Genomic DNA, 22,177 nt, shown 5'->3' with positions numbered 1-22,177 from the left:
AGCCACCCAAAGTCCTGGGATTACAGGAGTGAGCCACCGCGCCTGGCCAAAAAAGTTGTTTTAATTAAAAATATTTTATTTTACTTTTTAAATTTAAATTTATTTTTTTGAGATGGAATCTCCCTCTGTCACCCCAGCTGGAGAGCAGTGGTGCAATCTTGGCTCACTGCAATCTCCGCCTCCTGGGTTCAAGTGATTCTCCTGTCTCAGCCTCCCAAATAGCTGGGATTACAGGTGTGCACCACCACACCCAGCTAATTTTTGTATTTTTAGCAGAGACGGGGTTTCACCATGTTGGCCAGGTTGGTCTCGAACTCCTAACCTCAAGTGATCTGGGTGCCTTGGTCTCCCAAAGTGCTGAGATTACAGGCATGAGCCACTGTGCCCGGCCAAGAATAACATTTTAAATTAAAAAAAGAAACAGGGTCTCACTATGTTGCCTAGTCTGGTCTCAGACTCCTGGGCTCAAGCGATCCTCCTGCCTTGGCTTCTCAAAGTGCTGGGATTATAGGCGTGAGCCACTGCTCTAGCCCCCCAGTATTTTTTTTAAAAGTAGAGACAGGGTCTTGCTATATTGTCCAGGCTGATCTCAAACTCCTTGGCTCCTCCAGTCTCAGCCTCCCAAAGTGCTGGGATTCACAGGTGTGAGCGACTACGCCCAGCTTCCTCCCTCCCTCCCTCCCTCCCTTCCTTCCCTTTTTTTTTTTTTTTTTTTGAGATGGAGTCTTGTTCTGTTGCCCAGGCTGGAGTGCAATGGCGCAATCTTGGCTCACTGCAACCTTTACTTCCTGGGTTCAAGTGATTCTCCTGCCTCAGCCTCTCAAGTAGCTGGGACTACAGGCACGCCACCGCCATGCCCAGCTAATTTTTGTATTTTTAGTAGAGACGGGGTTTTGCCATGTTGACCAGGCTGGTCTTGAACTCCTGACCACAGGTGATCCACCCCTCTCCGCTTCCCAAAGTGTTGGGATTACAAGGGTGAGCCACCATGCCCGGCCTTGGCTTATTTCACGGAGCGTGACATCTTCAAGGATCATCCTGTTGTGCCCTGTGTCCAGATTCCCTTCCTTTTCATGGCTCAGTAATATTCATGTACGGATGGAGTACATTGTGTTCATTCATTCATCTGTCTGTGGACACTTGGGTTGCCTCTACCTTTTGGCTGTTGTGGGCTGTGCCCCCATGAACATGGCTGTGCAAGGATCTCTTTGAGTCCCTGCTGTGAATTCCTTGGGGCCTTGCCCAGGAGCAGGATTGCTAGGCCCTATGGTAATTCCATGTTTAATTCTGAGAAACGGCCAGACTGTTTCTCGTCAGGCTCACTGTGTTCCATTTCCCACCTCAGAGCATAAGGGTTTTGCTCTCTCCACATCCTGGCCAACCCTTATCATCTTCCGTTTTTTGGTTGGTTACCCTGTGGCTACTGTTCCCCTTCTTGTTTTGTTTTTTTTTTTTTTTTTTTTTGAGATAGGGTCTTGCTCTGTCGCCCAGCCTGGAGTGTAGTCATGCAATCATAACTCATTGCAGCCTCAACTTTCTGGGCTCAAGGGATCCTCCCACCTCAGCCTCCCGAGTAGCTGAGACTACAGACATGTGTCATCATGCCTGGCTAATTTTTTGTAGAAACGGGGTCTCACAGCCGGGCATGGTGTTTCACGTCTGTAATCCCAGCATTTTGGGGGGCCTAGGCGGGTGGATCACCTGAAGTCAGGAGTTCGAGACCAGCCTGGCCAACATGGCGAAACCCCGTCTTTACTAAACATACAAAAATTAGCTGGGCGTGGTGGTGCATGCCTGTGATCCCAGCTACTTGGGAGGCTGAGGCAGGAGAATTGCTTGAACCTGGGAGGTGGAGATTGCCGTGAGCCGAGATCACGCCACTGCACTCCAGCCTGGGCGACAGACCGAGACTCCATCTCAAAAATAAATAACTAAGTAAAAATAAATACAGAAAAATAAAAACAGAAACGGGGTCTCACTCTGTTGCCCAGGCTGGTTTCAAACTCCTGGGCTCAAGCAATTCACCTCCTTGGCCTCCCAAAGTGCTGGGATTACAGGCATGGGCTACCACGCCTTGCTAATATTTTATCATTTTTTGTAGAGATGGGGGTCTCACTATCTTGCCCAGGCTGGACTGGAACTCCGGGGCTTAAGTGATCCTCCCCCCTCAACCTCCCAAAGTGCTGGGATTACAGGCATGAACCTTTCTTTTTTTTTTAAAAGAACAATAATGCCCAAGGTATCTGGGCTGCCAGGCAGGGCTTCTGCTGTCCTGGAACCACCTCCCTCATGTCTCTGTCCTGTCCTGGACTATTTTGGGCACAGTGACCGGCAGATCATCCTTACCACACTCTGTGCTTATGGGGAAGGAGAAGCCTTGGCAAGCCACCTCTTCCACGTCATCCTCCCATTCCATATCCACTCCTGCTTCCCCTCCAGCACGGAGACCTCAGACCCTCCCTGTGGCCCTGGACTCGACCTGGCATACACCACACCGTTCAGCACACATTTTGCACAGAGGGGCAAATAGTAAATATTTTTGGCTTTGCAGACAGACCTTCTCTGTCAGGGTGACTCAACATGCTATTGTAGTACTAAAGCAGCCACAGGGCTGACACGTACAAATGGCAGGGGCCGGGTGCCAATAAAACTTTATTTATAGGCATTGAGAAAAAAAATTTTTTTGAGACAGGTTATCGCATTGTCACCCAGGCTGGAGTGCAGTGGCCTGATCATAGCTCACTGCAGCCTCAACCTCTTGGGCTCAAGCAATCCTCCTGTCTCAGCCTCCTGTGTAGCTGAGGCTACACAGGTATACCACCATGCCCAGCTAATTTTTAATTTTTTTTTTTTTTGAGACGGATCTTGCTCTGTCACCCAGGCTGGAGTGCAGTAGTGCGATCTCGGCTCCCTGCAACCTCTGCCTCCCGGGTTCAAGCGATTCTCCTGCCTCGGCCTCCCAAGTAGCTGGGATTACAGGCATGCACCACCATGCCTGGCTAATTTTTGTATTTTTAGTAGAGACAGGGTTTTGCCATCCTGGCCTGGCTGGTCTTGAACTCCTGACCTCAGGCAATCCGCCCTCCTCGGCCTCCCAAACTGCTGGGATTACAGGCGTGAGCCACTGCACCTGGCCTGACGGATCTTAGACAGAACACGGTAGACACCAACAGTTAAAAAAACAGGACCCAGTTTACTACTGAAGCTGCAGCGAGGTTACAGAGGCGTCTTGGGGCTCAGTCCCTGAGCTCCGGGACGCCCAACTGGGAGTGGGGCCTCCACTCTCCTACGTACAGACACCCCCATAGGGAAACGCTCACATGCTGTCCTGCTGGGACGCTGCAGGCCTGGCCGTTCTGTGGCCGCATCCGCGTCCGGGTCCCTGTGTCCTGGCTGGGCGAGCCGGGGAGGGGGCTGATTCCTGGGAGCGGTTCAGCAGCGAGTTCTGAATGTCTTCCAGGACTTCACGGAAGAGCTCCTCTCGGGACTTCATGCCGTCCAGGTAGACTGAAATCAGAAAGGCTGCGTCAGGGCTGCCGGGAGGAAGGGGGCCAGAGCACGGGGGGACGAGTGGACGGCTGGGTCAGGAGCAAGGAGATCTGCAGAGTCGGGCTGCTGGAGTCAGTTTCCTGGACCAACAGCAAGAGGGGGCCGGGCGCGGTGGCTCACACCTGTAATCCTAGCACTTTGGGAGGCCGAGGCAGGCGGATCACGAGGTCAGGAGTTCGAAACCAGCCTGGCCAACAGGGTGAAACCCCATCTCTACTAAAAATACAAAAATTAGATGGGTGTGGTGACGCGCGCCTGTAATCCCAGCTATTCAGGAGGCTGAGGCAGGGGAAAGGCTTGAACCCGGGAGGCGGAGATTGCCGTGAGCCAAGATCGCGCCACTGCACTCCAGCCTGGGCGACAGAACAAGACTCCGTCTAAACAACAACAACAAAAATAGCAAGAGGGACTGGGGGCGAGGCTCACGGAGGAATGTCCAGGTTTCCAAAGGTCCTGAGTGGGGAGTACTGAAGGGCGTTTAGAATGGTGGCCAGCTGCAGTGGTTCACGCCTGTAATCCCAGCACGTTGGGAGACCAAGGAGGGCAGATCACCTAAGGTCAGGAGTTCGAGACCAGCCTGGCCAACATGGTGAAACCCTGTCTCTATTAATAATACACAAATTAGGGGCCGAGTGTGGTGGCTCACGCCTGTAATCCCAGCTACTTGGGAGGCTGAGGCAGGAGAATGGCTTGAACCTGGGAGGCGGAGGTTGCAGTGAGCCAAGATCGTGCCACTGTACTCCAGCCTGGGTGACAGAGTGAGACTCTGTCTTGAAAAAAAAAAAAAAAAAGATGGAGAGGGGCTGGGCCCAGGGTCCCCCCCGCCCGCCCGGGGCAAGGCCTGGTCATGCTCAGGGGCTTACCCACTTCCACACCGTTGGCCTCCATCTCCTGCCTATACTTCTGGTACATGGGCCACACGTGGCCATCGAAGAGGCCGGGGGGATCAGGGACTGTGTAGTTGCGGGTACTGCAGAGGGAGAAGGCAAGGATGGCTTAGAGCACAGAAGGGTGATGCTAAGAATATACCCCCGGTGGGGGGCCTGAAAGCTGTCATAGTCAGGGACAGAACCTCTGAGCAAGGGGACCCTCGGTCAGAAGCCCTGGGCTAGAGGCTCCAACCTCCGGCATGTTCACCCTGTGGGTCCGGGAGATGCCCTGGACAGGGTTGGGGTGGGCCGTGCTATCCAGGCCTCAGGCTCTGGGCACCTGGCACAGAGCTCCAGCCAGCTAAGTGGCCAGTGCCTGTGGCGTTGGGATGTGGCCCGTGTCCAGTGGCGTTTTCTCTTTTTTTTTTTTTTTTTTTGAGATGGAATCTCGCTCTGTTGCCCAGGTTGGAGTACAGTAGCCTGATCTTGGCTCACTGCAACCTCCACCTCCCGGGTTCAAGCCATTCTCTTGCCTCAGCCTCCTGAGTAGCTGGGATTACAGGAGCCCGCCACCATGCCTGGCTAATTTTTCAATTTTTAGTAGAGATAGGTTTCACCATGTTGGCCAGGCTGGTCTCAAACTCCTGACCTCAGGTGATCCGCCCATCTCGGCCTCCCTAATTTTTGTATTTTTTGGTAGAGATGGGGCTTCACCATGTTGGCCAGGCTGGTCTCGAACTGACTTCAGGTGATCCGCCCAAGCCTCCCAAAGTGCTGGGATTACAGGCGTGAGCCACCGCGCCTGGCCGCCTTTTTTTTTTTTTTTTTTTTTTTTTGAGACAGAGTCTCCCTCTGTCACCCAGTCTAAAGTGCAGTGTCCCAGTCTCAGCTCTGCCTCCCAGGTTCAAGCGATTCTCCTGCCTCAGCCTCCCAAGTAGCTGGAATTACAGGTGCACGCCACTACGCCCGACTAATTTTTGTATTTTTAGTAGAGACGGGGTTTCACCATGTTGGCCAGGCTGGTCTCGAACTCCTGACCTCAGGTGATCCACCTGCCTCAGCCTCCGGAAGTGCTGGGATTACAGCCCAGAGACACTGTGCCCAGCCCCCAGTGGCATTTTCTAGGTTACCGCTGGTTCCACCCAGTAATTCAAGACAGGGCCCTCAGGAGCCCACCGCACCCCCAGACACCAAGTGCACCTTCTCCTCCACTTGCACTCTTCATACGGGACGGTCAGGAAGTACCGGCGGCTGTACAAGTCCACCAGGGGCCTGGGCGGAGTGGGGGAGACACGGTCAGCACCTGTGAGCTTTCCTTCAACCGCAGTCAAAATATCCAACCCCCCAGCCTTGGCTTTCAGAGGGTGGCGAGCACATGGGGTGGTCTGGGCCAGTGAGTTTAGGGGTCAGGGAGGGAAGCTGAATTGGCCAACATCCCTGCAGCAGCCCCCCACAAAATTGAATCACGCTTCTTCTCCAACTTGGACGGGCACAGACAGACAGAATGTCTTGCTCAGGGCCACACAGTGAAGCCAGAGGGCGCAGCCTAGGTTACTGGTCTGCCCGAGAAGTCTGAGGTTCCAGAAGAAAGACTCAGTCTCCCCAAGAAGGGTGGCTGTTTGTCCCAGACTTGAGTTTTTAGTTTTAATTTTTTTTTTGAGATGGAGTCTCTCTCTGTCGCCCAGGCTGGAGTGCAGTGGTGCGATCTCGGCTTACTGCAACCTCCACTTCCCGGGTTCAAGCGATTCTCTTGCCTCAGCCTCCTGAGTAGCTGGGATTACAGGCACACGCCACCACACCTGGCTAATTTTTTGTATTTTTAGTAGAGACAGGGTTTCGCCATGTTGGCCAGGCTGGTCTCGAACTCCTGACCTCAGGTGATCCATCCATCTTGGCCTCCCAAAGTGCTGGTGAGCCACCACGCCTGGCTCCAGACTTGGGTTGATCCCAGCTCTGCCCCCAACTCCTGACTTCCCGTGGTGGCTCTGCTCCTGGGTCTCCTGACTATTAAAATGGAGATGTGAGCCAGGCGTGGTGGCTCACGCCTGTAATCCCAGCACTTTGGGAGTCCGAGGCGGGCGGATGGCTTGAGGTCAGGAGTTTGAGAACATCCTGGTCCAATAGGGTGAAACCCAGTCTCTACTAAAAATACAAAAATTAGCCGGGTGTGATGGCGCAGGCCTGTAATCCCAGCTACTTGGGAGGCTGAGGCAGGAAAATTGCTTGGACTGGGAGGCAGAGGTTGCAGTGAGTCAGGATCTCACCACTGCACTCCAGCCTGGGCAACAAGAGCAAAACTCTTGTCTCAAAAAAAAAAAAAAACAAAACAAAAAAAAAAAAAAAAAAAAACAAGAGATGGCTATACCCGCCCAGAGAGGGCCATGCCTGGGGCCAGAGCCTGCAGATGTTTACTTGTAGCTGTAGAGCAGGAAGCCTTCCAGGAGGAGGATGTGGGTGTCCGAGGCCTCTGGCTGGACGCTGACCCCGTGGGCACGGGCAAACTTCTGCGGGCTGCTCAGCCAGGCCTGCACGGTGTCCAGCATGGCCTCCATGTCCAGAGACTCCAGCACTGGGGAAAGGGGAGCAGGCATTGCAGGAGGGCAGACCCTGGGGGATAGTGGACGGGGAGCGGGCATTGCAGGAGGGCGGACCCCAGGGGACGGTGGATGGGGAGCGGGCATTGCAGGAGGGTGGACCCCGGGGGGACAGTGGACGGGGAGCAGGTATTGCAGGAGGGTGGACCCCGGGGGAACAGTGGACGGGGAGCGGGCATTGCAGGAGGGCGGACCCTGGGGGATAGTGGACGGGGAGCAGGTATTGCAGGAGGGTGGACCCCGGGGGAACAGTGGACGGGGAGCGGGCATTGCAGGAGGGCGGACCCCGGGGTATAGTGGAGGGGGAGCGGGTATTGCAGGAGGGTGGACCCCGGGGGGACAGTGGACGGGGAGCAGGTATTGCAGGAGGGCGGACCCTGGGGGAACAGTGGACGGGTAGCGGGCATTGCAGGAGGGTGGACCCCGGGGGGACAGTGGACGGGGAGCAGGTATTGCAGGAGGGCGGACCCCAGGGGAACAGTGGACGGGGAGCAGGTATTGCAGGAGGGTGGACCCCGGGGGGACAGTGGACGGGGAGCAGGTATTGCAGGAGGGCAGACCCCGGGGGGACAGTGGAGGGGGAGCGGGCATTGCAGGAGGGTGGACCCCGGGGGGACAGTGGACGGGGAGCGGGTATTGCAGGAGGGTGGACCCCGGGGGAACAGTGGACGGGGAGCGGGCATTGCAGGAGGGTGGACCCCGGGGGAACAGTGGACGGGGAGCGGGCATTGCAGGAGGGCGGACCCCGGGGGGACAGTGGACGGGGAGCGGGTATTGCAGGAGGGCGGACCCCGGGGGGACAGTGGACGGGGAGCGGGTATTGCAGGAGGGCGGACCCCGGGGGATAGTGGAGGGGGAGCGGGCATTGCAGGAGGGCGGACCCCGGGGGAATAGTGGAGGGGGAGTGGGCATTGCAGGAGGGCGGACCCCGGGGGATAGTGGAGGGGGAGCGGGCATTGCAGGAGGGCGGACCCCGGGGGAATAGTGGAGGGGGAGCGGGCATTGCAGGAGGGCGGACCCCGGGGGAATAGTGGAGGGGGAGCGGGCATTGCAGGAGGGCGGACCCTGGGGGAATAGTGGAGGGGGAGCGGGCATTGCAGGAGGGCGGACCCCGGGGGAATAGTGGAGGGGGAGCGGGCATTGCAGGAGGGCGGACCCCGGGGGAATAGTGGAGGGGGAGCGGGCATTGCAGGAGGGCGGACCCCGGGGGAATAGTGGAGGGGGAGCGGGCATTGCAGGAGGGCGGACCCCGGGGGATAGTGGGGCTTGGAGGTGATGCTTGTCCTTACCGTCCCACTGTTTGAAGCCGTCTTCCCCAACTGCTATTTGGTCTTGGGGCTGAAACAGAGGAGCCTGAACCTCGGGCTCAGTGCCCGGTCCTGCCTCACCCCCGGCCTGGGTGATGGAGTCTTAGGGGGTCCCTTGCTGGAGCTGCTGAGGTCCCTGAGGCGTGGGGGCTCTGCCTGACCCTCAGATTTTCCCCAGACCATCAATCATCTCATTAGCCCTCACCCCCACCCACACCCACACAGCGAGCTGGGCTCAGAGTCTATTTTGCAGATGGGAAAGGGGAGGTGGAGAGGAATAAAGGGTATTCACCCAGAAAGCCACAGCCGGCTGGCCCTGTGGAGGAATGGTGGCTTTCCCATCCATCTAACTGGGGTCCCCACTGTAGGGATGTCCAGTGAGAATGGGCTGCGTATGAAATAGGTGCTTAGGAAATGGGAACACGACACCCGTCCCTCACTTTCCTGGCCCAGTTTATCCCAGAGACCCCAGGAGGGGTCAGGCAGGGAGTGGAGCCAGTGCCCAGCCCACACGGGCACTGGGCAGTGGAGGGCGGGGCTGGCCGGGCCTGGCTGCCCACCCTGCATCCCCTCTCAGCTCCACCTCCCCGGGCAAGGGCGGGCACCTTGAAGAAGTCATCCTGATGGATCACGCAGCAGTTGGGCAGGGCTCTGAGCAGGCTGTTGGTCAGCGTGGTCTTGCCGCCGTTGGTCATGCTGGGGAGACAGCGTGTGCATGAGACTGCCTGGGCTCCCCCCAAGAAGGTCAGGGTGCTCAGAAGGGGGCCTGAGGTGCAGCCTGGGCTCCCCGGGGCCTGTCCATGTCTCAGGGTCTTCCTGCAAATCAGCTCCCAGGATTTTTCTGATTCTTTTTCTTTTTTTTTGAGACCAAGTCTTGCTCTGCCACCCAGGCTGGAGTGCAGTGGCGCGATCTCAGCTCACTGCAAGCTCTACCTCCCGGGTTCAAGCAATTCTCCTGCCTCAGCCTCCTGAGTAGCTGGGACTACAGGCACACGCCACCACGCCTGGCTAATTTTTGTATTTTTAGTAGAGACAGGGTTTCTTTCTTTTTTTTTTTTCCGAGACGGAGTTTCACTCTGTTGCCCAGGCTGGAGTACAATGGCGCAATCTTGGCTCACTGCAACCTCTGCCTCCCAGGTTCAAGCAATTCTTTTGCCTCAGCCTCCCAAGTAGCTGGGATTACAGGCGTGCGCCACCACACCCAACTAATTTTTGTGTTTTTAATAGCGATGGGGTTTTGCCATGTCGGCCAGGCTGGTCTCGAACTCCTAACCTCTGGTGATCCGCCTGCCTTGGCCTCCCAAAGTGCTGGGATTACAGGTGTGAGCCCGGCCCACCTATGTTTACAGATAAGGAAATTGATTTAGTCTCAGCAGGGCTTAAAAAAATAAAACAGCACCGGCCATGCACGGTGGCTCATGCCTGTAATCCCAGCACTTTGGGAGGCCGAAGCAGGTGGATCGCTTGAGCTCAGGACTAGCCTGGGCAACATAGTAAGACCCCATCTTAACAAAAAATTAAAAACTAGCCAGGTGTGGTGGTGCATGCCTGTAGTCCTAGCTACTTGGGAGGCTGAGATGGGAGGATCGCCTGAGCCTGGGAGTTCGAGGCTGCAGTGAGCTGTGATCACCTCACTGCAGTTCAGTCTGGGTGAGAGTGAAACCCTGTCTTTAAATAAATAAATAAATACATAAATAGATAATATAAACAATTTTAGCTGGTCGTGGTGGGTCATGCCTGTAATCTCAGCACTTTGGGAGGCAGAGGCAGGCAGATCACCTGAGGTCAGGAGTTTGCGATCAGACTGGCCAACCTGGTGAAACCCTGTCTCTAGTAAAAATACAAAAATTAGCTGGGCGTAGTGGTGGGTGCCTATAATCCAAGCTACTAGGGAGGCTGAGGCAAGATAATCGCTTGAACTCAGGAGTCAGAGGTTGCAGTGAGCTGAGATTGTGCCACTCCACTCCAGCCTTGGTGACAGAACGAGATTTTGTCTCAAAAAAAAAAAAAAAAAAAAAAGACTGACGGAAAAAGAGGACACCTATATCATATCCAGAAGAGGCAGGTTAGAAAAATGCCTAATGTTGCTCAGGTGTGGTGGCTCCCACCTGTAATCCCAGCATTTGGAGAGGCTGAGGCAGGAGGATTACTTGATCCTGGGAGTTTCAGACCAGCCTAGGCAACATAGTGAGACTCCCATCTGTATTATAAAATTTAAAACCCAATTTTTAAAATGTAAGCCCCCAGGTATTAATAATTTTTTAAATAAAAATAAAAAGAAAGTGCCTGACATGAATCCAAGTTATTTTGTGCCCCGGGTGGGCTGTGACATTTGCAGCGCTGAGTGCAAAATGAAAATTCGAGGCTTCTTACTCGAAAAATATTAGGGGCAGGGCACGGTGGCTCACGCCTGTAATCCCAGCACTTTGGGAGGCTGAGACAGTTGGATCACTTGAGGTCAGGAGTTCGAGACCAGCCTGGCCAACATGGTGAAACCCCCCATCTCTACTAAAAACACAAAGTTTAGACAGGCATGTGGTTCACGCCTGTAATCCCAGCTACTTGGGAGGCTGAGGCAGGAGAATTGCTTGAACCCGGGAGGCGGAGCTTGCAGTGAGCCGAGATCACACCACTGCACTCCAGCCTGGGGCAACAGAGCAAGACTCTGTCTCAAACTACGACGGCAACAACAACACCCCCCCCCCAAAAAAAAAAACCCCAAAAAACAAAAAATATGAAATTCAAGAGGGAGTCCGGCTAGCATTAGACCAAGCTCCCGTCCCTTCTGAGGCGGGGGTGTGAGCCCCACAAAGCCAGCCGTGCTGGTTACAGAGAGTTTGAATCTCTTCTAGCCTGAGGTCGCCTGAGAGAGGCTCCAAAGGCACAGTCATGTGGAATGACATTTTGGGGACCCCATCCCACCTGCCCACGTGTCAGTCCCCGATTTAGCCAGGACAGCCACGAGGCGGGAGGAGGGTTCACTGGAGCTTTAGTTAATTTTCTGTCCCTACTGATTTTTTTTTTGAGACACAGCCTCACTCTGTCGCCCAGGCTGGAGTGAAGTGGCATGATCGCACTCACTGCAACCTCCATCTCCCGGATTCAAGCGATTCTCCCACCTCAGCCTCCCCAGTAGCTGGGATTACAGGTATGCACCACCGTGCCCAGCTAATTTTTGTATTTTTAGTAGAGACGGGGTTTCACCGTGTTGGCCAGGCTGGTCTCAAATTCCTGACCTCAGGTGATCCACCCGCCTCGGCCTCCCAAAGTGCCAGGATTCCAGGCCTGAGCCACCGTGTCTGGTCTATTTTTTTTTTATGCTGAGTATAATTGGAAGGTGGCGGGAATCATTTCCATTTAAAAAATGAAACACTGGGCTCAGTGTCCAGCCCCCCTTCCCACTGGGGACACCGAGACCCCCAGGGCAGAAAATCCTCCCTGCACTCTGACCTCGGGCGGCGTGTAGGTGACCTCAGGCGCCAGGCATCCCTCCATTCATTCCCGGGCCTCCCCCTCTGCGCGCACAGGGGGCTTTGCCCCGCAGGGCCGCCCACCAGGTCCCCCGGCGCTCACCCTCCGATGCCCACGATGAGCTTCATGCCGGTGCGGAGGGGCGGCGGGGACGACTTCCAAGGCAGCCCGGGTAGGGTGCGACCACGCAGTGCGCTCCGGAGTGCGTCCCGGCTTCATTGAGAAAACCTGGCGCCTTTATAGGTCTCGGCAGCCTGGAGGCCGCCCCGGGGGAGGCGGCCCCTGGGGATGGGGCGGAGGCGCCGGCACCTGTTCCCGCCGCCGAATGGAAATAGCTCCAGGCTGCCTTTTGCCTAAATTAGTCACGAGCTGGCCGGGCAGGGGGCTGCCTCTTCCCTCCTCCCACCTCCCTGCCCTCTCTCCACTCCCTCCTCCCCTCTCCTCCCCTTCTTACCCCCTCCTCCCTCCTCTCCACCCCCACCCTCTTCCCTCCTCCTGGCCAGAGAGCTCAGATCAGCAGCCCCACACTTTTCCCTCCCTAAAAATATCCCGCTCTCTGTGTCCTATGGCCTGACCCTGACATTAAGACTGGTTCTCGTGGCGTCAAGGAAGCGAACTCACCCACCCCCGCCCGCACAGCAGCCCTAGAGGCCGGGACCCTGCGGGGAGCTTCGTTTTCCAACGAGGTCAGGGCCAAGGTGGGCTTAAGATCCTTAGCAGTGAATCACAAGATAGCCTTGCCCAGGTGACCGGGGGCCCAGCCACAGGATCTCAGCGTGACACCAGGGACCATTCATCCCGTGCCTGCCTTGTGGGTGGAGTCATTTGACTGGGGGCCGGCGGGGCGGGGAGGGGGTAATGGGGAGGAATGACACTCTGCTGCTTCTCTCTTCTACTGGTAAAGGGAAAAAGTATTCTCTTATTAAATGTTTTAATTTTTTTTTTTTAATTTCAGATGGAGCCGGGTGCAGTGGCTCACGCCTGTAATCCCAGCACTTTGGGAGGCCGAGGCGGGCGGATCACGAGGTCAGGAGTTCGAGACCAGCCTGGCCAGCATGGTGAAACCCCGTCTCTACTAAAAATACAAAAAAAATTAGCTGGGCATGGTGGCACACGCCTGTAGTCCCAGCTACTTGGGAGGCTGAGGCAGGAGAATCGTTTGAACCTGGCAGGTAGAGGTTGCAGTGAGCTGAGATTGTGCCACTGCACTCCAACCTGGGCGACAGAGCGAGACTCCGTCTCAAAAAAATAAAATAAAATAAAATAAAAATAAATAAATTTGAAACAGAGTTTTGCTCTGTCACCCAGGCTGGAGTGCAGTGGTACCATCTTGGCTTACTGTAACCTCTGCCTTCCAGGTTCAAGCAATTCTCCTTCGTCAACCTCCCCAATAGCTGGGATTACAGGCGAGCACCAACACGCCCAGATAATTTTTGTATTTTTAGTAGAGACGGGGTTTCACCATGTTGGCCAGGCTGGTCTTGAACTCCTGACCTCAGGTGATCTGCCCGCCTCAGGCCTCCCAAAGTGCTGGGATTACAGGTGTGAGCCACCATGCCCAGCCTACATTTTTGAATTTTTTGAGACAGGGTCTCGCTCTGTGGCCCAGGCTGGAGTGTGGTGATGTGATCACAGCTCACTGCAGCCTCAACTTCTCACACTGGGGCGATCTTTCTGCTTCAGCCTCCCGAGCAGCTGAGACTACAGGTTCGCACCACCACACCTAACTTTAAAATTTTTTGTAGAGATGGGGTCTTGCCATGTTGCCCAGGTTGGTCTTGAACTCCTGGCCTCACGTGATGATTCCTCCAACTCGGCCTCCCAAAGTGCTGGGATTACAGGCATGTGACGCCTCTCCCCACCAGAAAATAATTTTTCTGATGCTTCTTAAAACAGTAAGGCTGACTTTGTTGAGGCGGGTGAGGGACTACTACCATGGGGTTTTGTAGTATGGGAGGGAGATTGAATTCAATCTTCTCCCTTTCCACCAATACAAGGAAAAGTGGGAAATTATAGCCCAGGAGCAGGGGGGTGATCAGAGGATGGGAAGTGACTAGGAAGGTGGGGTGATAGGATGGCCAAGTTTGTATGTCTGTATGCAGTAAGAGATCAATACACCAAAGAGAGAGAGAATTTTTAAGAGATGAGGTCTTGTTACATTGCCTAGGCGGGTCTCTAACTCCTGGCCTCAAGTGATCCTTCCTCCTTGGCCTCCCAAAGTACTGGGATTACAGGCTTAAGCCACCACGCCCGACCAATGATGTACTTTATGAGTCCTGTTAACAGAATTGTGACCCTGGACTTCAAGAGCTTTTGCAAAATGGACTGGAAATCTTGGGGTATTCATGAGGAAAGCTCAGAAAAAGCAGTCAGCCACAGGATCTGTGGCAGTGCAGCGGGGTGGCTATGTCTGTGGCCAGAGCTCCTCCAGGTGCTCAAGCAGGCACCCAGGAAAGCCCGGCTCCTGGGCTTCACCTCTGGCCCAGTTTCGGTGGCAAGAATTTCCTGGCAGCCTCTTGGTGGGGCACGTGGCCCAGGGCCTCAGGTGACAGTGACATGCCCAGATAAAGGCCCTGGCAGGGCACCTCTGGGAGGCCTCCCTGTGCCAGCCCACCCCGGCAGGAAGGAGAGGGAGAAGCCACAGGGGCTACAAATGCCTGCCAGTCCCCAAGCAGTCCCAGGTCCCAGGGTATTGATTAGCGACCTCACTGCCCCACGGTGCAGTGATCCCATTTACATGAAATGCCCAGGACACGTCAATCCACGAGGACAGGAAGGGGACGCGTGGGTGCCAGGGGCTGGGGGAGGTGGGTGGGGATGACTGTGGCTGCTGGGGACAGATTTACTTTTGGGGTAATGGAATGTTCTGGAATTTAATAGAGGTGGTATTTGCAAAACATTGTGAAGAATGTACTCTTAAAAATGGTTAATTTTAGGCCGGGTATGCTATGGTGGCTCACGCCTGTAATCCCAGCACTTTGGGAGGCTGAGGTGGGCGGATCACGATGTCAGGAGATCGAGACCACGGTGAAACCCCGTCTCTACTAAAAATACAAAAAAAAAATTAGCTGGGCGCAGTGGCGGGCGCCTGTAGTCCCAGCTACTCGGGAGGCTGAGGCAGGAGAATGGCGTGAACCCGGGAGACGGAACTTGCAGTGAGCTGAGATCGCGCCACTGCACTCCAGCCTGGGCGACAGAGTGAGACTACATCTCAAAAAGAATGAAAAAACAAAAAAATGGTTAATTTTATATTAAGTGACTCTCATCTTGATTTATTAAAAAAGTGTCTGTTTGGCCGGGCGCGGTGGCTCACGCCTGTAACCCCAGCACTTTGGGAGGCCGAGGCAGGCGGATCACGAGGTCAGGAGATTGAGACCATCCTGGCTAACACGGTGAAACCCTGTCTCTACTAAAAATACAAAAAATTAGGTGGGCACGATGGCAGGCGCCTGTAGTCCCAGCTACTCAGGAGGCTGAGGCAGGAGAATGGCATGAACCCGGGAGGTGGAGCTTGCAGTGAGCCGAGATGGCGCCACTGCACTCCAGCCTGGGCGACAGAGCCAGACTCCGTCTCAAAAAAAGAAATGTTTGCAGTGGCTCACTACTGTAATCCCAGCATTTTAGGAGGCCAAGGTGGGAGGATCGCTTGAGGCCAGGAGTTCAAGACCAGTCTGGGCAACGTTGTGAGACCCCCGCCTCCTTGCCCCCCACCATCTCTACCAAAAAAAAAAAAAATTAGCTGGGTGTGGTGGCCTGCTTCTGTAGTACCAGCTACTTGGGAGGCTGAGGCAGAAGGATCCCTTGAGCTCAGGAGGTTGAGGCTGCAGTGAGCTGAGATTGCATCACTGCACTCTAGCCTGAGCAACAGAGGAAAACCCTGATTAAAAAAAAAAAAAAAAGCCTGGGCACGGTGGCTCACCCCTGTACTCCCAGCACTTTGGGAAGCCAAAGCAGGAGAACCACCTGCGGTCAGGAGTTCGAGACCAGCCTGGCCAACATGGCGAAACCCCATCTCTACTTAATACAAAAATTAGCCGGGCGTGGTAGCGCGCGCCTGTAATCCCAGCTACTCGGGAGGCTGAAGCAGGAGAATTGCTTGAACCCGGGAGGCAGAGGTTGCAGTGAGCTGAGATTGTGCCACTGCACTCCAGCCTGGGTGACAGAGTGAGACTCCGTCTCAAAAAAAAAAAAAAGTAATTATGATAATAAAAAGAAAGTGACCAAATGATGAAGACTTTAATTTCGTCCTGGGTTTTTCTGCAACACTGGTGGCGCCGATCCGGCCCTCAGGCCCCTCTCTGGCTGCCCCAGGCCTTGCTCCCCGTGGGTCACTCTGCCGGGGACACCCCTCCTCCTGCTGGCTTGGCTGACGGCTGCTTGTGTATTAGTTCTCTGATCAGAAAGGTCCCTTCCTCCTGGTCCCCAGGAAGGCCCCAGGTCCCTGGGTTGAGCCCACCCCTTGGGCTGGGAGTGGTGTGAGGGACTGGACCCCCTGTGCCCCGAAATGAATGAAAGAGCGAGTGAGGTTTTCTTTACTGTTGTTTTTTTTTTTTTTTGAGACGGAGTCTTGCTCTGTCACCCAGGCTGGAGTGCAGTGGCACGATCTCGGCTCACTGTAAGTTCCGCCTCCCGGGTTCACGCCATTCTCCTGCCTCAGCCTCCTGAGTAGCTGGGACTACAGGTGCCCACCACCACGCCGGGCTAATTTTTGTATTTTTAGTAGAGACGGGGTTTCACCGTGTTAACCAGGATGGTCTCGATCTTCTGACCTCGTGATCTGCCCGCCTCGGACTCCCAAAGTGCTGGGATTACAGGCGTGAGCCACCGCGCCCGGCCTTCTTTTCTGTTTTTTTTTGGTGGGGGGTTCGGAGTCTCTTTTGCCCAGGCTGGAGTGAAGTGGCGCCATCTCGGCTCAGTGCAACCTACGCCCCCTGGGTTCAAGTAATTCTCCTGGCTCAGCCTCCCGAGTAGCTGGGATTACAGGCGCGCACCACCACGCCTGGCTAATTTTAGTATTTTTAGTAGAGACGGGGTTTCACCACGTTGGCCAGGCTGGCCTCAAACTCCTGACCTCAAGTGATTCACCTGCCTCGGCCTTCCAAAGTGTTGGGATTACAGGCGTGAGCCACCGTGCCTGGCCGTGAATGGGGTTTTCAAGAAACCTCTCAGGGTAATCAGAGACCCCGTGCAGTAGGATAAAGGAGGGGGCTGTCACCTCCAAACTGGGAGCGGCTCCCCAGGATCCCAGCACCAGCTCCACCCTCTTTGTCCCCTCCATCCACCCACGAAGACCCCACCTTTTCCCCTAAAGGGCACCTGCCGGCATAAACACAACTGGAGCACAGTAGCATGACTTTGGGACCTGCTGGTGACAGAGACATCAAGGTGGGTATGACATGGCCACCGCACAGTGTCCCCACTGGGTGGATGGAGAGAACTGGCAGGCGTGATCGTGGCTCACTGCAGCCTCTGCCTCCCGGGTTCAAGTGATTCTCCTGCCTCAGCCTCCTGAGTAGCTGGGATTACAGGCGTGTGCCACCACGCCCGGCTAATTTTTGTATTTTTAGTAGAGACGGGGTTTCACCATGTTGGCCAGGTTGGTCTGGAACTCCTGACCTCAGGTGATCCTCCCGCCTCCGCATCCCAAAGTGCTGGGATGGCAGGGGTGAGCCACTGGGCCCTGCCTGTTACTAGTACTCAAAAGGAACAAACCTCCCTTCTCAGTGATAGTTTCTTTATTCCACATAAAAGTCCCCCCAAAGCTCATGGAGACGACGTCTTAACATCACGACCGTCGTCAATCGTAGTGATCATTTCTGTTCTGAAAAACCGCAAAACTCATCGTTGGAAGGATGGGCTGCTGACCAGGACTTTGGGGGAGGGTTTATGACGCATCCCATGTGTCACCAGAGGGAAACCCAACATCCTTTTACGAGGAGGGGTCGGGGTCCATTGCATTTTGGCCAAACCACACCCCCCACCCTGATACAAATCCATCTCAAAGCCCATCTGTGGACGGTGCAGGTCGTGGCCCAGCTGGGAACGGTGGCCCCGGCTGTTTGACCTCGGCATGCCTGCCGACAGGTGGCCTCGCCGGGGGCCTCTTTTGCTCTGGAGGGTCCGCTGGGGCTGAGTTGGGGTCTTCAGTTTCGCCTGCCTGTTGTCTGTGACTGCTGGTGATCCAAAGGGGCGTGGGTGGGCCACGGCATAACGGGCGGACCCCCTGGAGTTTCTGGTGGGGGCAGAATGTTTAGCCGGCAGGCACCTTCTGGGTCAGGTAGGGCCTCACTTGTCACTTGATTGCTGCTGTAGACACTCAATTATTAGGTGTCCGATTGGGTGGAATGAGTTCTTTCCTGTCCCCGTCTCCTGTCTGTGACTTGGAAGCGGCCCCAGTCTTCCATGACGGTTAAGGCCCAGCAGTTCTTGTCACTGTTGGGTTAGAACGATTCATGCTGGAGCTGCGTGCCTTTGGTCACCTGGGACAAATCGTGGCAGCTGGGCCTGGCTGGCATCTATCTGCTGGAGCCTGTCTCCTCCGGGCAGTCTGATAATCAGGCTTCTGTCATTTTTTTTCTTTTGAGTCAGTCTTGCTCTGTCTCCCAGGCTGGAGTGCAGTGGTGCAATCTCGGCTGACTGCAATCTCTGCCTCCTGGGTTCCAGCTATTCTTCTACCTCAGCCTCCTGAGTAGCTGGGACTACAGGTGCGCGCCACCACACCCAGCTAATTTTTGTATTTTTAGTAGAGATGGGGTTTCACCATGTTGGCCAGCCTGGTCTCGAACTCCTGACCTCAGGTGATCCACCTGTCTCGGTCTCCCAAAGTGCTGGGATTATAGGCGTGAGCCACCGTACCCAGCCACTTTTGTCATCTTGTGTTGGCTTTGGCAGCGACACCATTCACTGGGGTGGGAATTCGGGACAGGGTCTTGCCCCTGTGCCCGGGATTTGACATTTGGGAAACAAATGTTAAAACCCTACCATGTCCCTAAATGTCCCAGCCTCCCCAGGGCAATGCTGAGACCCAGAGGTGTCCCGTCACAGCCGGTGGCTCCACAGGAACCTGCAGGCATAAGCCTGCTCAGAAACCCCGTCTTCCTCATGGCAGGAGCTGCTGGCTTTTGGGGATGGGACTCGCGCAGGACCCTGTCCCACAGGGCAAATCTTTCTGTATCACTGCCCCTCAGCACTAAATACCACCAGTTCCCTGCCATCATCGTTGGAATAACCCCAAATGCAATTCCTTGCTGTCTCAGGTCAAGATGCACTGGACGCTTTCACTGAGGCTCAGTTAATTGTGGGTCTGGTTGGCCCAGCCTGGATAGCACTTGCTGAGAGGTCAACCACAGAGCTAGGAAGAAGGGCCTGGAGAATGTGCCCGCCCTACTCACCGTCTGCTCAGACTGATAGACATGAAGACATTTAGGATTAGAGGGAAACTCGTGAGCAACTCTCTGCAAACACTGTCCATTCTTTTCTTTTCTTTTTATTTTGAGACGGAGTTTTGCTCTTGTTGCCCAGGCTGGAGTGCAGTGGCATGATCTTGGATCACTGCAACCTCTGCCTCCTGGGTTCAAGCAGTTCTCCTGCCTCAGCCTCCCGAGTAGCTGGGATTACAGGCATGCACCACCATGCCCGGCTAATTTTTGTATTTTTATTAGAGACGGGGTTTCGCCATGTTCACCAGGCTGGTCTTGAACTCCTGACCTCAGGTGATCCACCCACCTCAGCCTCCCAGAGTGCTGGGATTACAGGCATGAGCCACTGTGCCCTGATTATTTTTTATTTTTTTTGAGACAGAGTCTTGCTCTGTCGCCCAGGCTGGAATGCAGTGGCACGATCTTGGCTCACTGTAACCTCTGCCTCTCAGGTTTAAGTGATTCTCATGCCTCAGCCTCCCAAGTAGCTGGGATTACAGGCACCTGCCACCACGCCTGGCTAATTTTTGTATTTTTAGTAGAGATGAGGTTTCACCATGTTGGCCAGGCTGTTCTCAAACTCCTCACCTCAGGTGATCCGCCTGCCTCGGCCTCCCAAAGTCTGGGATTACAGGCGTGAGCCATCGTGCCTGGCCCAGCCTTTTCTTAAATACTTCCAGAGACAGGGAGCTCAGTGCTTCTAGAGTCCATCTGACCAGTGATCCGCATTTGGACCACATTAGAAAAGTCTGTCTTCTTTTTCCTAGGGAAATTTGCCTCCCGAACAAGAACCCGCTGGTCCAAGCTTTGAATGCAGGTGGCTGCGGCCAGCGCACTGGATTTATCTTCCCGAATGACTTCTGAAACACTCAAACGCCCGATACCCTGTATCTTCCTCTTGCTAGGTCTGCCTATTTCAGAGCCAGTTTCTGAGCCTCTGCTGTTCCAACCCGGAACAGCGTTGGCGTGTCCCAGCCTGACGCTGGGTTGGGGGAGCAGTGAGGTCCACATATCTCATTCCTTGGTGGGAGGTATTGACGGGGTTTGCCCGGTGGCTTGACATCTGAGTTAAAGGGGCTTGAGAATGTTCTAGATTACTGGGGTGTCATTTTGCAATCGGAGGACAAGGATGGTTGGCAGCGGCTCTTCTTGTGCAATGGGCTCTGATCCTCTCAAAGGAGCTGGGTGTCATTATGAGCGAGAAGGGGGCGGGTCAAATGAAAAACCATGGGTGTGAAATTTGGACATAAGGTCGGAGGTCAGGAGCTACCCCAGGACGTGGCCCTCATAGGGGGGTTGAGCTTCTAGGTCTGAGGCCGCATTCTGGAGGGAAAGGCACAGGAAAGGACGCAGACCCAGCCGGGGTGGCGGTGGGTGTCTGTGGCTCCAACCTGGAGCGGGTGACAAGCAAGAGAAGGGTCTTGAATCTTGTATCCAGCTCTGACCACAGAGGCTGCGAGCAGGAGCGGAGGCCACCGACGCCACGCGGGCCACCCCCTGCGCTTCTTGCCTTCCTCGGCTGAGAGTTCGTGAGTGTGGAAGGGTGAGGGGCTCAGAGCTGGGCCCTTTTCTGGAACGCACAAATACTGCATCGTTAAAAAAAAAAAATACAATGTTTTCAAGCAGCTGAAAAGGATGCTGGGTTTCAGAGATGAACGGAGGGGCTGGCACCCTTGGAAGATTGGGACTCAGGATGAGGCAGGATGAGATCTGGGGCCAGTGGGCGTCTGACAGAGGTTTTCTGGCATCTGGAATCTTCTTCCATGTCCTTTGTTATGCTCACGTCGCCTCAGGACATGCTAGGGAGGGAAAGACACAGGCCAAGTTATTGCTGTTAATGTTAAAAGTGCAAAATGCGCTTCTACATGTATGTAATCCAAAACAATGATCCCACCCAGCGTGGGTGAACTCCCAGCAGCAAGAGTGGCACATGCCCTTCAGGGCCCGGCTCCTGCCACCCACTTTCTAAGTGTGGCTCTGAGGGCCTCCTTCCTGGTGCCTCAGCAGAACAGGCCCTGGAGACTGGCAACCTCAATCAGCCTGGAGGGAGGCTTCAACCCACCCCCCAACTAACCAACCATACAACCACCCACACATCTATCCATCCACCCATCCATCCATCCATCCATCCATCCATCCATCCATCCACACACTCACTCACCCATCCATTCACTCAATGGAGGGATCCATTCATCCCTCTGCCCACCCATCCAGCCACTCACTCATCCGTCCATCCACCCATCCACCCACCCACACATCCATCCATTCATCCATCCATCCCTCCACTCATCCATCTATTCAACCATCCATCCATCCATCCACCCACCTATCCATTGATCCATCTGCCCACCCATCCATCCACCCACTCATCCATCTGTCCATCCATCCATCCATCCATCCATCCATCCATCCACCCACCCACTCATCCATCTAGCCATCCATCCATGCATCCAACCAACCATACAACCACCCACACATCTAGCCATCCACCCATCCATGCACCCATCCATCCACCTATCTATCCATCCATCCATCCATCCATCCACCCACCCACCCATCCATTCATCCATCTGCCCACCCATCCAGTCACTCACTCATCCACCCACCCACCCACTCACCCATCCATCTACCCATCCATCCATCCACCCACCCATTCATCTACCCAACCATTCATCCAACCAACCATTCATCTACCATTTACCCATCCATATGCCTACCCATCCATCTCTCCATCAGTCCATCTTTCCATCCCTCCACCCATCCATTCATCCACTCATCCATCCACACAGTCAACCTTCACCCATCCATCCATCCATCCATTTATCCATCCATCCATCCACCTATCATCCATCTATCCTCCCATCCCTCCACTCATTCATTCATCTATCTATCCACCCATCATCCAAACATCCTTCCATCCATCCACTCATCCATCCATCCATCCATTTATCCACCTATCCATTCATCCA

The 22,177-nt window shown here is 54.8% G+C and overlaps 2 protein-coding genes across 9 annotated transcripts in view, besides 1 other annotated feature; both read right to left on the bottom strand.

The window, feature by feature from the left end:
* Positions 1–3,173: 3,173 nt before the first annotated feature.
* NMRK2 (nicotinamide riboside kinase 2) lies at positions 3,174–12,521 on the bottom strand. Of its 7 annotated transcripts, none has more exons than NM_001289117.2 (8): positions 12,412–12,521; positions 11,893–12,132; positions 8,925–9,015; positions 8,302–8,365; positions 6,831–6,987; positions 5,619–5,690; positions 4,413–4,519; positions 3,174–3,507 (listed from the first exon to the last, which is right to left on the bottom strand). In NM_001289117.2, exons 2-8 carry the CDS (start codon positions 11,916–11,918, stop codon positions 3,317–3,319), a joined length of 708 nt encoding a protein of 235 aa, NP_001276046.1. In that variant the 5' UTR covers positions 11,919–12,132; positions 12,412–12,521; the 3' UTR covers positions 3,174–3,316. The 7 variants fall into 7 exon arrangements, 6 of the variants coding, with proteins under 6 accessions (NP_001276046.1, NP_733778.1, XP_006722788.1 ...); NM_170678.3 differs by having other exon boundaries at positions 8,302–8,350; XM_006722725.4 differs by lacking the exons at positions 5,619–5,690; positions 12,412–12,521.
* Positions 6,500–7,259: an enhancer, noted in NCBI's record as "H3K4me1 hESC enhancer chr19:3938329-3939088 (GRCh37/hg19 assembly coordinates)". NCBI's record gives its function as "activates a minimal SCP1, AML or CMV promoter by ChIP-STARR-seq in primed H9 embryonic stem cells {active_cell/tissue: H9 hESC(primed)}" and the evidence as "EXISTENCE:reporter gene assay evidence [ECO:0000049][PMID:30033119]".
* The window catches only part of ATCAY (ATCAY kinesin light chain interacting caytaxin), a 47,398-nt gene continuing 42,728 nt past the window's right edge, over positions 17,508–22,177 (bottom strand). For both annotated transcript variants that reach the window (NM_033064.5, XM_047439578.1), the window contains one exon: positions 17,508–21,007. In NM_033064.5, coding sequence (NP_149053.1) covers positions 20,998–21,007 — 10 coding nt within the window. In that variant the 3' untranslated portion in view covers positions 17,508–20,997. The remainder of the gene's footprint in view (positions 21,008–22,177) is intronic.

The sequence above is a fragment of the Homo sapiens genome, chromosome 19 (genome assembly GCF_000001405.40).
Source record: "Homo sapiens chromosome 19, GRCh38.p14 Primary Assembly".
NCBI lineage: Eukaryota > Metazoa > Chordata > Mammalia > Primates > Hominidae > Homo > Homo sapiens.
Note: the sequence above shows the minus strand (reverse complement) of the source record. Positions and strands in the feature narration are given on the sequence as shown.